The sequence below is a fragment of the Homo sapiens genome, chromosome 7, assembly GCF_000001405.40.
Source record: "Homo sapiens chromosome 7, GRCh38.p14 Primary Assembly".
NCBI classification, from domain to species: Eukaryota; Metazoa; Chordata; class Mammalia; order Primates; family Hominidae; genus Homo; species Homo sapiens.
In genome coordinates this window covers 47335019-47350125 of record NC_000007.14, presented here as the reverse complement: position 1 = coordinate 47350125, position 15107 = coordinate 47335019, and the positions used below count along the sequence as shown (strand labels likewise).

The window sequence follows — 15107 nt, the reverse complement described above, 5'->3', positions numbered from 1 at the left end:
TGGGAAGGGATGGAAGGGAAGGAAAGGCACCAGTGGGTAAGGAAGAGTGACCACAGAGGAATAGAGTTGGCAGTTGTGGATTTTAAAGTCAGATACATGTGGTGACAAATCATTGCTCTCTGCTGACATGCTGTGTGGTGTAGGATGAGTACTCAGACCTGAGCCTCCATTCTCCTTGTCTGCAAAAAAGACGTAGCAGGCCGCCTTAATGGAGTGATAATGGGCTTTTCTCTATGAGAGCACCTGCCCAGGCTTAGACTGTCACTGTTGCTGGATAAACGTTGGTCTCCTGTTTTTCTTTCTTTTGTAACTACCTCCTGGGCAGATGTGGGTGCATCCTAGCACGTAGTGGTTTTGCAGTATCTTAAACCCTGTCTCATTTTGTCCTGTTTTTTCCTGGCGTTTCAAACTTCTCATTTCCAAGGTTTGCAGTCCGAGAGGAAGGGATCTCCACACCCCACAGAGGCCTGAGCCTTGCTGACCTTGTGTGCCTGTGTCTTTTCCCTTTTGGGAATGGAAAGCAGGACCCTGCAGGGCTGAAGCCACACTTTCTGTACAGGCCACATCCTGGAATCCAGGGCCCGGTGGCCCTGCTTTTGCAGGTGCCTTGACTCCCCCATTCTTCCTGCGCTTGCAGAGCCTCTTTCTGGCCTCAGACCCACAGCTGCTCTCCGTCGCTGAGTTCCCTCCATTGTGGAAACCATCTTACTCCTGGTGGTCCCAGTGGCAGGATACTGAGAAGTATTGATCCATCCAGAGGGAGAGGCATGTAGTTCTGCTTAACCAGACATGGTGCCACACAGATTTGAGCACAAGCACCGGAGGTGGGACAGTAAGAACATTTTTTTTGAGACTTTTTTTAAATGAAGATTGATTTTTTTTGAGACTTTTTTTAAATGAAGATTGATTTTTTTTTGAGACTCTTTTTGAATGAAGAACATTGTTTTTCGTTGTAATTCTTTGGGGAGAGAGAGAATTGAGGAACAGTTTCAAATCCATGTGTTCAACAGGAACATTTCTGGGGCCAGCTCACAGAATGCCTGTGTTTCAGAGCCTCCTCTGGTGTGGGAGGCCCAGAACGGAGCCCACTGTTGGCTCTGTGTCAGCTCATGCACAGATTGTATTCCCTAGCTGCTCTAAAGGAGACATGTTGAAGGAAACTTCCAAGTTGAAAGGTTAGAAGAAGTCTAAGCGTCCTGCATTGAGACTTATGTTTTAGTCCTGGAAATTCCTTTTCGGACCCTGTTACGACCTGGTTGTGCCTTCGAGTGCAGCTGCAAGGCTGTGCTGGCTGTTGTCAGCTAACCCTAATGGGACCTCAGTTTCTGAAGCCAGTGAGTTTCCAACCTCAGGCCTGAGATCAGAGTGCGTTAACATGCACTTCCCATCCTCCTTCTCCAGATCAAAGAGAACACTTGACCACACTGTCCACAGTTTTATTATTATTACTATTTTTAGTTGAGACATAATAATTGTACATATTTATGGGGCACAGTGTGATATTTTGATAAATGTATACAATGTACAATGCTCAAATCGGTGATTTGCATAGCCATTTTTTCTGTGTTCTTCATGCAACACTGCATGTTGGAATGATACTGCCATGTCATTTTTGATAAAACACCACATATTATCTTGCATGTTGAACAGAAGTACTATTCCCTCCCCTTTGAAAATTACCTCTCTAGAAGTGACCTCTGAAGTTCTAGGCAGTGAGTGGACTGTAATGTCAGTACAGGGCAGCGGAGCTCCTGGTGCTCTCCAAAGATAGGTCCTCCCTGGTGGAATGATTTCCCTTGAGGCCAGCTGCATGGCTCCTTTTTCCAGGAAGGGGACCAGGCTCTCAGTCACTTGTCTGTGGCCATGACACTTCCTTTCCGTCACTAACACCCAGGGCTATCGCCTGCCACCTTGACTGCTTCAGGAACAAACTCCACGTCTGAGCTGAGTACCAGGTGGTGCGTGGGGCCAGCCCAACTTTGTGACCTCACACCTCTGCTAGCCCTCTTTAAACTCATTCTTGGAATGGCTGCAAATGCATGTGTGTGTTGAAGAGCACTGGAGTGAGGGTGGTCCCCTCCCTGGCCTGCAGCACTTGCGTCCTGTGGAGGGTGGTGAGTGTGAGGATGAGGACCACTGCACCATGGGGATGAGGATGCTGTAGTGAGGGGCTGCTGTGTGAGTAGGACTCTCAGATATGCCATTTCATTTCATTTAATCCTCCCCCTTGTGGGAGGGAAAAGAGAGCAAGCATTATGCTCATTTTACCCATAAAGAAATGGGGGCTGAGGATGTCCTGCAGCTGGTGAGGGATACACGTGAGACCCCAAATCCCAGGTCCTAACGCACACTTCTTCCTCCTTCTTTCCCTGGATCTGTGGAGGGAGCTGCTGGGAACCGAAGAGAGGATGGAAGGAAGAGGTGGAAGGTTGCTTGGAAGGACCTGTGTTTGGATCTCCCTTGCTTGGTCGCTGTTGTGTGGTGCTGAGCAGATGTCCCATGGGACAGGGAGGGTGGTGTACAGCCTGGCTCAGCCCAGGAGCCTCCTTAAGCCTCACCTGAATGGCATCTAGTAGCTGGTAGGGTCGGGCAGTGGAGCCCCCCCATGCTGCAGACAGAAACAAGAAACCTTACAGCGGTCCTGCTGCTCCTCTCAGGCAGGCATGGTGGGTTGATGTCTTGTCGCTCTCTGTGGAACCTTCTCTTTATCATGCCGACCTTTGCATTCCTGTGAGCTTCTGAAGTCTCTGGATGTAGGAGGTGTCAGTGGCATATCATGGACTCAGCACGACTGTATGTCACTATCATGATGTATTTTGGAGGGTGGCCATCAACCAATTTGGAACAAAGTCATTCTAAGAGGAGCCTTATGTGGGCCACTCATGTTTATGAATCAAACTCCATCTTTCAGTGAAATGCTACTCTGCACTCTACACTTACAGGGACTATGTATTTATAGTTTAAATCTAAACTGTAGGGGACAGTGTTGTTGGGTTTGCATATTCAGACTATGTCATCAATAGAAACATTCCTCTTTTAATAGCCGGCAGCAGGTTTTTCCTAACTGCCAAATGATAAGAATCCCTGGGAAGAGGTTTTAGAAAATTAGATCCCAGCCCGACCCCCATTTTCACCAACACAAAAAGAACAGAATTTGGTCAAGAGTGGGGACCCCAGGGATCTGTGTCAGGAATAACCGCCTGTGGTGTTTCTGGCAAGGAAAGATTGGGATGGTGAATATTTATTGTTGATGCTTGAAATAATAGGTTTTTTCCCTCTCCAGAATTTCTCATTGCTAAGATTCAAATTATCATAGTCGGGCCATGCTCTGCCCAAGGTCACCGCAGGTGTGTGGTCCTCAGGGCACTCTGGTCCTGACAGGACACCAGGGGTGGCATGTGGGGGCCTCCTTCCCAGCTGGGTCATCGTCAGTCCCACCCAGCATTCCATCCGGGCACTGTCCTTTCCCAGCACTGAGAGTGAGTCTGGGTGCTTGGTCCTATCTCCAAGTGGCCTGTTCTGGAAGGAGCATGCTGGCCTGGGGAAGCTGCACATTTCCAAGGCTGTGGCCTTGTTCATCCCTGAGAGTCTGAGAATGCCCTGGGTTTCCCATCAGCTGCCTTCAGCAACCACAGCATCTTCCCAGAGCAGTGGTGACCAGGATGCAGCATACAGCACCTTTGAGAAGCAGCAGGCAAGATTTAAGGAAGGGGCGCCTCACTCCGCCTTGAGGAAGCGCCCTGCAGCCTGCTTGTCTCCCTTTTAACAGGCTCCTCTGCTGAACAGCCCCTGGGCGGGAGACTCAGGAAGCTGAGCCTGGGGCAGTACGACAACGATGCTGGGGGGCAGCTGCCCTTCTCCAAATGTGCATGGGGAAAGGCTGGTGTGGACTATGCCCCAAACCTGCCGCCATTCCCCTCACCAGCGGACGTCAAAGAGGTATGTGCCACAGCCAGGTCCCAGTTTCTGGGCCCATTCCACTCCCTTTCTTGTCCTGGAACCCCGAGTGAATGGGCAATGACCAGGCCTTGTCCCTGAATACAGCCCACATTATCCTCCGCACCCACCTTCCGTCCTGGTTTCACAAATATGGTCGTGGCTCCTCTGTACCTGGCAAGCGGTGTGGCTGGGAGAGCACAGTGTGCAGTCAGCTGGCCTGGGTAATGCACCCCAGAGATAGCTATGCTGGTGAGGCCACCTCACTCAGGGCACTCGAGCCTCTATGTTCTAATCTGTAGAATGGGCACAAGGAGCACAGCATGTGGGTGGGTTGTGTGGGTTCGAGGTAGGGCTCTTATAGGCCTGGCCTTAGCCATTCTCCATAGCCCGACAGCAGCAGCCAGTGGCACACACAGCCTTCCTTCAGGGTCATCACACTCACACAGGGTCCTCAGTCCTCCCTCCGAGACCTCCCTAGGAGGTGACCCACAGATGAGGGCCACAGATGAGAGCTTCTTGCTCTTCCAAGAGGCCTAGGTAAGGCTTCTAGTCAGAATGGATGTAAAGCAGGTCGGTGTATCCAAAACGATTAATTATTTTAGACTTGGGTGGGATTTCTTTTCAAGTTGGCAAAGTTGGAAGCTACAGAATTCACAAGAAAAAAAAGCTATTCATAGTCTTGACTCACAAAGGAAACCACTGTTAATATTTAGAATATTTCCACCCGGCCTTTTTTCTGTGCTATGTATTTAAAATACTATGTGTTTTTATGCATCTGTGAATATATTAATACCATGGGTAAGGACTGTTTTATCCAGCTTTTTCGCTTAATATTGAGATACTCATTTACCTGTACCATTACAAACTCTGTCTACTTCACTTATTAGCTGTATATTGTATTAGAAGGATGGGCCGTAAGATACCTTCCGTTTCCTTTACTGTTGAAGGTGAAAGTGTTTTCCAGTTTTCCATGGCTAGGAGAGGCGGGCTGGTTTTGTGCAGTGGATCCAGACCTCAGCCTCCTTGTCCTACTGTCAGAGGAGGGGTTTGCTCAGTGGGCCAGCCTGGGGGAGCCACAACCACAACTGTTTGGAGGGGCCTTCACTTGACTCCCTGTTCTCACATTCTACTCCCTGTGCCAATTTCAGACGATGACCCCTGGCTATCCCCAGGACCTCGATATTATCGATGGCAGAATTTTAAGTAGCAAGGAGTCCATGTGTTCAACTCCAGCATTTCCTGTGTCTCCAGAGACACCGTATGGTAAGAATGAAGTAACACTAGCTGCATGTGCTGCTCCATGCCCAAGGAGGGTGACAACAGCCCCTTGCTCTGCTTTCTTTTCCAGTGAAAACAGCGCTGCGCCATCCTCCGTTCAGCCCACCTGAGCCCCCGCTGAGCAGCCCAGCCAGTCAGCACAAAGGAGGACGTGGTAAGAAATCTACCCGCGGGTCACAGGCGCGCGGCACTCAGGCGCTGCATCGCGGGGTCGCCATTTTTACAGAGAAGAACTCGTATGCAGAAATGTTTCCATTTGTGTCGTATCTCAGAAGCCTTGGATGAGGATGGATCTTGCTGGGAAAGATGTAGGGATGTGGCCGTGAAATCCACTGTGTGGTGGCAACCTGGCCTTGCATCGCTGCCTGGCATCCTGTGGGGAACCCTCCTGTAATATGCAGTTGATGGGACCATCAGTGGTGACTGTCGGGCAGCTTAGCATTGGTGCTTTTGAAGAAACGAGAATGCCCACCCCACACTTCACGTTCTCTGTGGGGATTGTGCCGCACGGGCGCCCCAGCTCTGCCACCCCAGCTGCCTTCTCACACGTACCTTGTGGCCCCTCCTGTCTGTTATTAGTGGGTGCCTAATCACTGTCCCTGGATCTCTGCAGGAACTCAGGGGCTCTGTCCATGGCCTGATCGCGTCCGTCTGTCTGCATAGCTGGCTCAGGCGAGAGAGTGTTAGTGGGCGGTGTTTAGGGCGAGTTACTGTGCACTTCTTCTGGGTGGACTTGAGGACTTGCCTGAGAGTCCAGGACAAGGCCGAGCTCAGGCAGGTGGAGAGAGAATGTAAACCTAAAGCTCGTGCACATTTCAAAATCACTCTTCTCTGGGAGTTTCGTTCATTACGCTGCTGCTTTTTTGCCCTAGTGAAGGCTGCTGTTAATGGTTATTAGGCACGTTACCTGAGACTGAGACTTTCATTAACTTGTATTTTCATCTACCCCTTACCCAGGAGTGTTGTGATCATGACAGCTAGCTCCATTCTCTCTCTTTCTCCATAGTAAACCAAGCCTGTGGACTATGTAATAGAAAGACATCCTTCTCCTAAAATTCCCTTTATGGTTTCAGGACCATAAATTGCTCTCTTCATATGTAGCATATAGCAGTTATACTGCCTGTATTTCTCAGTAAGTGCTACTGAAATTTAAAATAAGCTGCATTTTAATGTCTACATTATGTGAGCATTACATGAGAAGTGTGTATGTTCCAATATGCATTAGCATGATGGACTCACACATAGGTAGCCATGCATCTGTTCTATATTTTTTATCATTTCAATAGATGCAGAAAGAGGGATGTCCCTTCCACCCCATGTAACCCCTCCTCCTCATGGAGGTGACTGTACTTGGCTCCTAGCTTGAAAGTGTTCAGTGGGTTTGGGCTGGCATCTAGCCCTCTGGCCTGGAATCCTGTCTTCTCCTGCAACACCAAAACCGGGTTTGTTTGAAATAGGTAGATGACAAACAGTGGAAGGTGGGTAATAAGCCTGAGGAAATAAAATACTAGAAACAGCCTGCAAACTCATTAACAGCTCCTGAGGGAGGCCTCTAAGATCACTGTATTGAGCATAAGAGAATGTGGAGCCCCGTCTAAACTCCAGAAGGGTCTAGGAGGCTGCAGGAAGCCTGGGTGCTCAGCGTGGGGTACCCAGTGGCCTGGCTGTCTTATGCTGGCCCGATTGTCCCAGCCTGGAGATGAGCTCCATGTCCTGTGCGTGGATGAGCGCTGCACTATGTGTGGATGAGGATGGCTCTGCACACCAGCATGTGTTAGATTCCAGTGGCTTCAACTTGTCCTGAGTACTATCTGCATGTACATATTCACACAGAAGAAGTCAGGGCTTTGCCTTTAAATATAAAAAGGTGACATGATAACAATATTAATGTGAGCCTTCTAGATTTTTATTTCAGCAGTCCCCAGGGAGGGTCAACTTCACATTAGCCCACAAGGAGCACAGAGATAACACAGTGCTGACTTAGTGGATGCTTTCATCAGACAGTGTGGTGAGCCAGTGCCCTTGCCAGGAGGCCCCACCCACTCTGCAAAGTCAAGTGGAGTTGTGAGACTCCTCCAAGGGCACAGTAATAACAGAGGTAGCTCGCCCATACAGAATGTGTCCCCTGATCTTTATGATTTCCTTCCATTTCACAGTCACATTCTATGGGTCACTCTTACTGTTACCCCCATTTTACAGGCAAGGAAATTGACACGAAGAAGTTGAGTAGCTAGTAAGTGGCAAAGTCAGAGTTTCAGCTCCATCAGCCGACTCCACAGCCATGGGCAGATTATACAGGGCTGATGTTTCACTTTGTCTTGTCTAACCTAGAAGTGACCTAATGTCACAACTAAAAAGCACATGGAAAGTCTCACAGTCATGGAATAACCATGTAATTTGTACATTTAGGTAACCCCTATGAACCTCCACCTCCTTATCTAAAAATGCAGACTATAGTACCTGCCATTCACAGCCACTGTGCAGTTTTGAAGTAGTAGGCTTTAGGCATCTGCAGTAATGCTTAACTGCGTATCATTTAGGCCTAGATACTGATGTGCATATAAATGACAGTATTTGCTTTAAAATACCATTAGGGAGAGGCTTCACTTCCCGGAGGGTGAATTAGACATACTTTTCTCTATTTCTCCTGCTAAGTACAACTTAAAACCTTGGACAGTAAGTATAAGACAAATATAAGAAAGCTCTGAAAGATGGGGAGAAATAGGCCAGCTAGCCATGGACTTCAGGGCCAAGGGACCCGGTAGGCCTTATTTATAATATCTATGGGCCAGGAAACAATCTTCAGAGGACTAAAAGTAACTGAACCATGCAGAACATGTTCTCCAACCACAATGGACTCACTAGAAATCAGTAACAGAAGGGCAACAGGAACACCTTCAACACTTGGAAACTGAACAGCACACTTATAAATAATCTATGGGTCAAAGAAGAGGTCTCGAGGGAAATCCAAAAACATACTGAACTGAATGAAAATGAGGATAAAATATCAAAAATTGTGAGACATGGCTTTATCCACTGCTTTAATACAGCCGCACTGAGAGGAAATTTTGGGCAAGAAGAAAATTCTGAAATGAATAGTTTATGCTCTTACCTCCATAACCTAGAAAAAGGAGAACAAACTAGACCCAAGGCAAGCAGAAGGAAGGAGATAATAAAAATCTAAGCAGAAATTTAAAAAGATACAGAGAAGTAATAGAGAAAATAAATGAAAGAAGTGGTTCTTTGAAAAGATCAATAAAATTGACAAACCTCTAGCAAGACTAACAAAAAAATGGAGGACATAGATTACTATTGTTAGGAAGGAAACAGGCACCATCACTAAAGACCCTGCAGACACCAAAAGAATAATGAAGGAATACACAAACTACTCTACATGCATAGTTTTTAAAACTTAGGTTAAATAGACCAGTTCCTTAATGAGCATGAACTGTCACAACTCACCCAATAGGAAATAGACTACTTGAATACCCTGTAACTATAAGGAAATTGACCTAGTAATTTATAATCTCCCAAAAAAGAAATCTTCAGGTTTCACTGGATAATTCTACCAAACATGTAAAGAAGAATTAACACTGATTCTACGCAATACCTTCCAGAAAACAGAAGAGGGGGGATCATGTCCTAATTCATTTTGTGAAGCTAGTATTACCCTGATACCAAAACCAGGCAAAAAGAACAGAAAAAGAAAACTACAGACCAATATCCCTCGCAGATTCAGATACAAAACTCCTTAACAAAACATAAACAAATAGAACACAGCAATATATAAAAAGATTGACACACTGTAGCCAAATGGGACATATTCTGAGATGCAAGGCTGGTTTAGTATTTGAAAATTCATTCATGTAATACACTATACTAACAGGCTAAAGAAAAAGCTCACGACTATATCAGTCAATCCAAAAAAAGAATAAAAAGAGTTTGGCAAAATTCACATCATTCATGACTCAAAACTTCCAGCAAAATAGAAGACAGGTACTCCTTCAACCTTACAAAAAGCATCTAAAAAGCCCCACAGCTGACAGCACTCTTTTTCAACATAGTTCTGGAAGTTCTACAGAGACATAATACAAGAAAAGGAAATTAAGACAACAGATGAGAGGAAAGAAATAAAACTGTCCCTTTTTGCTGGTGACATGATCATCTACGTAGAAAGCCCCAGGGAATCTTGAGTCTGCTGCTGACATGATTGTCCAAACAGAAAATCCCAGGGAAGAGGCGGAGCTTGCAGTGAGCTGAGATTGCACCACTGCACTCCAGCCTGGGCGACAGTGTGAGACTCTGTCTCAAAAAAAAAAAAAAGAAAAAAAAGAAAATCCCAGGGAACAACAAAACAACAACAAAAAGTGAAACTGTTAGAACAAATTCAGCCACTTTGCAGGATTCTAGTTCGACACACAAAAACTAGTTCTATTTCAGTACGCTAGCAATGCACCTGTAGAAGCTGAAATTAAAAATATAAGTCACAGCCCGGCGGAGTAGCTCACGCCTGTAATCCCAGCACTTTGGGAGGCAGGGGTGGGCAGATCACGAGGTCAAGAGATCGAGACCATCCTGGCCAACATGGTGAAACTCTGTCTGTACTCAAAATACAAAAATTAGTTGGGCGTGGCAGTGCGTGCCTGTAATCCCGGCTATTCAGGAGGCTGAGGCAGGAGAATCACTTGAACCCAGGAGGTGGAGGTTACAGTGAGCTGTGATTGCACCACTGCATTCCAGCCTGGCGACGAGCTAGACTCCGTCTCAAAAAAAAAAAAAAAAAAAAAAAAAAATATATATATATATATATATATATGTATATGCACACACACATATATTCGTATGTATATATATACACACATATACACATATGTATACATATATTTATGAAAAGGACATAGAGGTGGCATATGATCGCATATGTATACATATATATATATATATATATATATGCCACTTATAATAGCTCAAAAAAATTAAATGGTTAGATGTAAACCTAGCAAACCATGCACAAGACTTCTGTGCTGAAAACTGCACAATGCTGATGAAGGAAACCACAGAATATTTCAATAAGTGGGGAGACATACTGTTTTCATGGATGGAAAACTCAACCTAGTAGAGCTGTCACTTCTTTCCAGATTGACAGACAGTTTTACCACAATTCCTATCAAAATCTCAGCAAGATTTTTTTGTAGATATAGACAACATAATTCTAAAATTTATGTGGAAAGGCTAAGGAACCAGAATAGCCAAAACAACTTTGAGAAAGAATTAAGTGGAAGGAATGAGGTTACCTAATTTCAAGACTTATTGTATAGCTACAGTCATCAAGACTGTGGTGTGGATGGAGGAACAGACACTTAGGTTCATGAAACAGAGTAGAGAACCCAGAAACAGGCCTACACAGATATGCCCAGCTGATTTTTTTGACAAAGGTACAGAAGCAAGTCGGGGAAGGTCAGCCTTTCAACAAATGATGCGGGGGCACCTGGGCACCCACAGGCAAAACAATGAACAGCCACCAAAGGCTCACACTTTATACAAAAATTAACTTAAAATGGATGATGGACTTAAATGTAAAATGTAAAACATAGTATTTTTTAAAATGGGAGAAAATCTTTGGGATCACTAGGCAAAGAGTTATGAGGTTAGGACAAAAGCATGAACCATAAAAGGAAAAGTTGACAAATTAGACTTTATAAAAATTAAACATTTTTGCTATGGAAAGAACCTGTGAAGAGGATAAAAAAGACAAACTGCAGAGTAGGAGAAAAGGTTTGCAAACCACATGTCCAAAAAAAGGAATATCATCTAGAATGTATATAATCTCTCAATACTCAGCAGTAAAGAACAAACAATTCACTTAGAAAATGAGCCAAACTATTATTAAAAAGTCGAAAAACAACAGATGCTGGCAAAGCTGCAGAGAAAAAGAACATGTATACACTGTTGGAGGGAATGTGAATTAGTTAAGCCACTGTGGAAAGTAGTTTAAAGATTTCTCAAAGAACTGAAAACAGAACTGCCATTTGACCCAGCAGTCCCATTACCGGATATACACCCAAAAGAAAAAAAATCATTCTACCAAAAAGACGCATGCACTTGTATGTTTATCACAGCACAATTCACAATAGCAAAGACCTGGACTCAACCTAGGTGCCCATCAACAGTGAATTGGATAAAGAAAATGTGGGACATATACACCATCGAAGTACTCCGCAGACGTAAAAAAAGAACCAAATCATGTCCTTTGCAACAACATGGATGCAGCTGTAGGCCATTGTCCTAAGCAAATTCAGTATCCCCTGAATTTAAAATAAAAGTTGAAATTAAAAAGAAAAGCCACTGACTAAATTAAATAAATGGATTTTTATTCAGTAGGAAAAAAAATTAGAAAATGGTTCAAAGAAAAAAAGAGACATGTCACTGAAGAGGACGTAGAGGTGGCTTATGAGCACGTGAAAAGATGCTCAACATCATTAGCCATTAGCAAAATATAAATTTAAATCACACCTATCAGAATGGCTAAAATAAAAAATAGTGACAACATCCAATACTGGTGAGCATGTGGAAAAACTAGACCCCTTATACGTTGCTGGAGGGATTGTTAAAATGGTACAGCTGCTGTGGAAAACAATTTTGGCAATTTCTTAAAAATGAAAAACCTACATCTGCCATGTGACTCAGTGATTGCATTCCTGGGCATTTATCCCAAAGAAATAGACTTATGTTCACATAAAACCTGTACAGGAACTCTTTTTACTTTAATAGCCCCAAACTGTAGATGTCCTTCAACAGGCCAGTGGTTAAACAAATTGTAGTACCTCAATACCATGGAACACTTCTCAGCAATAAAAATAAGTGAATTATTCATACACACAACAACCCGGATGGGTCTCTAGAACATTAGGTTGAGTGAGAAAAGTCAAAACCTGAAGTCTGTATAGTGTATGATTCCATATATGTCACACTTTTTACATGGCAAAATTGTAGACACAGAGAAGAGATTCATGTCTGCTAATGGTTGGGAGGGGCAAGAGTAGAAGGGGAATGGAGTAGCCAAAAAGGCAACAGGAGATTGGCAGAAGAGTGGTGGAGTAAGAGGTCGGGAAGGTGGAGCCAGGCCAGGAGCCGTTCTCTGTAGTTCCCAGAAGGTGGTGGTGTGGCATCCACATGCAATGTGAGGTCATTACTGAACCTCAGGATGGGGAGGTGACTGCTCAGATTTGCATTTTCACACATCACTGTGGCTGCTGCATGAAGAACACGGTGGGATGGACAGTGGGCTGGAACAGACCAAATGGTTTCAGAAGAGATAGGAGGAAATCAGAACATTTGTGTAGGATTCAGGTGGTGCAATCAGCTGACCTTAACACAGTGGAATTGGAGCCTGACTGCTCTTTCTAATTGTATTGCTTTTGTCATTATTGTTTAAATTAGGTTCTGGCTTCTTGTTAATTAGTATGCAGTTAGTATAACACTATCTCCATAAAATTCCTCTGCAGATCGCATTACTAAAACATAACTTGATACCTCCTTAGTCAGCATAAGCCCCATGTGTTAAGTTCTTTTCCAGACAACCACCAGGATAGGTGTCCAAGAGAAATAGCCCAGTTAGTTAAAGGCTGTAAGGACAGATTTTATTCAGGATTATTGCAACAGGAGAAAGTGCTGGGCTCAGCCCCAAATGCAGCAAAGACAGCTGGAGATTTATGACCGAGGAATAGAGCAAAAGGATCTGGTGGATGGAAAGTCATTAAGAAGGGACATCAAGGGTAGGGGGGTTCTTGCTAAACTGGCCTAACACGGTTTCTGCTACAGACAGGCCAGGGACTTAGACACAAATGGCGAGGGATGAGGAGCTTGATGACGTGTCAAGGGGGATTAGATATCAAGTGTGGGGGATGAAAAGCAGGATTCTTGCTGGAACTGAGCTTGCCACGGTTGGACGTGGAAGGCCAATGTTGAGGCCTAGTGGAGAAGAGGGCTTGGAGGAGCCTGGCTAAGGTTTGGTCAAGGAGAGTCTGTCACAAGATAGACCCATCTGTATCCAGGCTAACGCAATAGGGTGACCAAATGCAGCCCGCACGCTTCTCTGTGTTTCTCTCCAGGTCCTTTGGGCACTTAGTTTATAATTTTTTATTTTCTATTTTTTATTTTTATGGGTACATAGTATAGGTGTGTATGGAGTACATGAGATGTTTTGATACAGGCATGCAATGTGTAATAATCACATCATGGAAAACAGGGTATTATGGGCACTTAGTTTAGCCATAAGGCTTCCGTGCCAAGTGGCCTGGGAGCCAGCTGGGGCCAGCTTCTGCCACAGGCATCCTTCACCCACCCTTCTCACAAACAAGCGATTCTTCAATAAACAATAAACAGAATACACAAAAAGCAAACCAAAACATCTCTAGATTTATTAATAGATGGGTGAATTAAAGGAGTCTTTTCCAAATAATGTGACTAACAGAAGCCAAGGGGGATGAATGCCCAAAGCTGGGGCTTGCCAGAACCTGCTGGTACCGAGAGCTGATTGCTGAAGTGTGAGGAATTTTGTGAGCCAGCTGACAGCACATTGGCAGCTTGGGATCTGCCAGGGCGGGATTGTTTACACCACAGGATTTAGCAAACGTTATGAATCAACCCCTCCATCGGCCCCAAGCTTCCCTGACACACCAAACAGTAGAAATTCACTGCCTTTTTTTTTTTTTTTTTTAACTCTGCTTGGTGTTAGCTAACTAGTCATGAAGAATAGAGGCTGAAGTGACCAAAGAGATCTTTCTGCATTTTGACATTCAAATATTTGGAAAGATTTTCCGCATTCAGCATTTGGATTCTAGTCCCATTGCCAGGCTCAAGTAAGCTCTGTGATAACAACACTCAGCTGTTGGAAACTGCTGTCCGAAGCATCTCTCAGCAGATAGGGAGGCCTAAAAGGACACGGCAGAGTGGTGTCTGGTGGGTCCTCTCCTGACATTTCTTCTCTCTCTGGTCAAATGCTGGATGCACACATATAGTGGCTCTGAGACTTCCTATCTGGGTGAGCTCAGGCAGTTCTAGGGACCTCTCTGAGCCCTAGTTTCATGTCCTGTACAACAGTAGTCATTCCTACTGCACATGGTTCTTGAGAAGATTGGACCAGAACATGTAGCTCTGGCTCCTGGCCCAGACCTGATCAACACTCAGCAAATAGTGGACACTGATGCTGTTAGGAGAACAGAGCATCCATATGAAGGGCGGTTCCCTGAGCTGGGGAGACCAGTGACAACTGTAAGTCTGGGTTCAGAGCATGAGTCGGGGGACGGAGAAGGCCCCTGGGCATCTGGCCCTGGGTGGCTGAGCCCTGGGAATCCTGCTTTTCCCAGAGATGTGCTTGTGCCCAGTGTGCTCATGTTTTAAATGCCAGCACCTACTCCAGGAAAATGATGGGTATTTCAATATCTGCTCACATTATGCATATTTAAATATGAATTTAAATACTGTTTAATTCTCCTAGGGATGTGTTGTCATTTAAAAGAGGTTGTGATTAGCATGAAGGACTGGGGACAGGAGCAGGAGATGGCAGAGCAGCTGTAGGCACTGATGTAATGCCTCCAGCTTTATGAGGACGGGCCCAACCAGGCTTCACCCATTTGGGGCCCTCAAGCGGGAGCGTCAGTGGCAGCCCTCGCCATCGTCCGTCTGTTGAATGTATTGCCACATGGCCACATTATGCCCCAGGAGCCATGTGTTGGAGGACAGTATCCTTAGGCTTCTCAGAAATTCCACATGGGAGCCTCAAATGGACATGCTTTTCTTGAAAACAAAAATATTTGTAAAAATGTAACAATGGGAGTCGTTTAATCTCAAGTCTCCCCTATAAGCAAAAATAGATAAAATTATGAAAT

General features: G+C 44.9%; 1 protein-coding gene across 25 annotated transcripts in view, besides 1 other annotated feature; it reads left to right on the top strand.

Annotated features, from left to right (window-relative positions):
- The window catches only part of TNS3 (tensin 3), a 307433-nt gene that overhangs the window by 232461 nt on the left and 59865 nt on the right, over nucleotides 1-15107 (top strand). For all 25 annotated transcript variants that reach the window (XM_047420733.1, XM_047420729.1, NM_001410878.1 and 22 more), the window contains 3 exons: nucleotides 3770-3939; nucleotides 5088-5202; nucleotides 5288-5371. In XM_047420733.1, the coding sequence (XP_047276689.1) occupies nucleotides 3770-3939; nucleotides 5088-5202; nucleotides 5288-5371 (369 nt within the window). The remainder of the gene's footprint in view (nucleotides 1-3769; nucleotides 3940-5087; nucleotides 5203-5287; nucleotides 5372-15107) is intronic.
- Nucleotides 5283-5783: an enhancer, noted in NCBI's record as "H3K27ac hESC enhancer chr7:47383941-47384441 (GRCh37/hg19 assembly coordinates)". NCBI's record gives its function as "activates a minimal SCP1, AML or CMV promoter by ChIP-STARR-seq in primed H9 embryonic stem cells {active_cell/tissue: H9 hESC(primed)}" and the evidence as "EXISTENCE:reporter gene assay evidence [ECO:0000049][PMID:30033119]".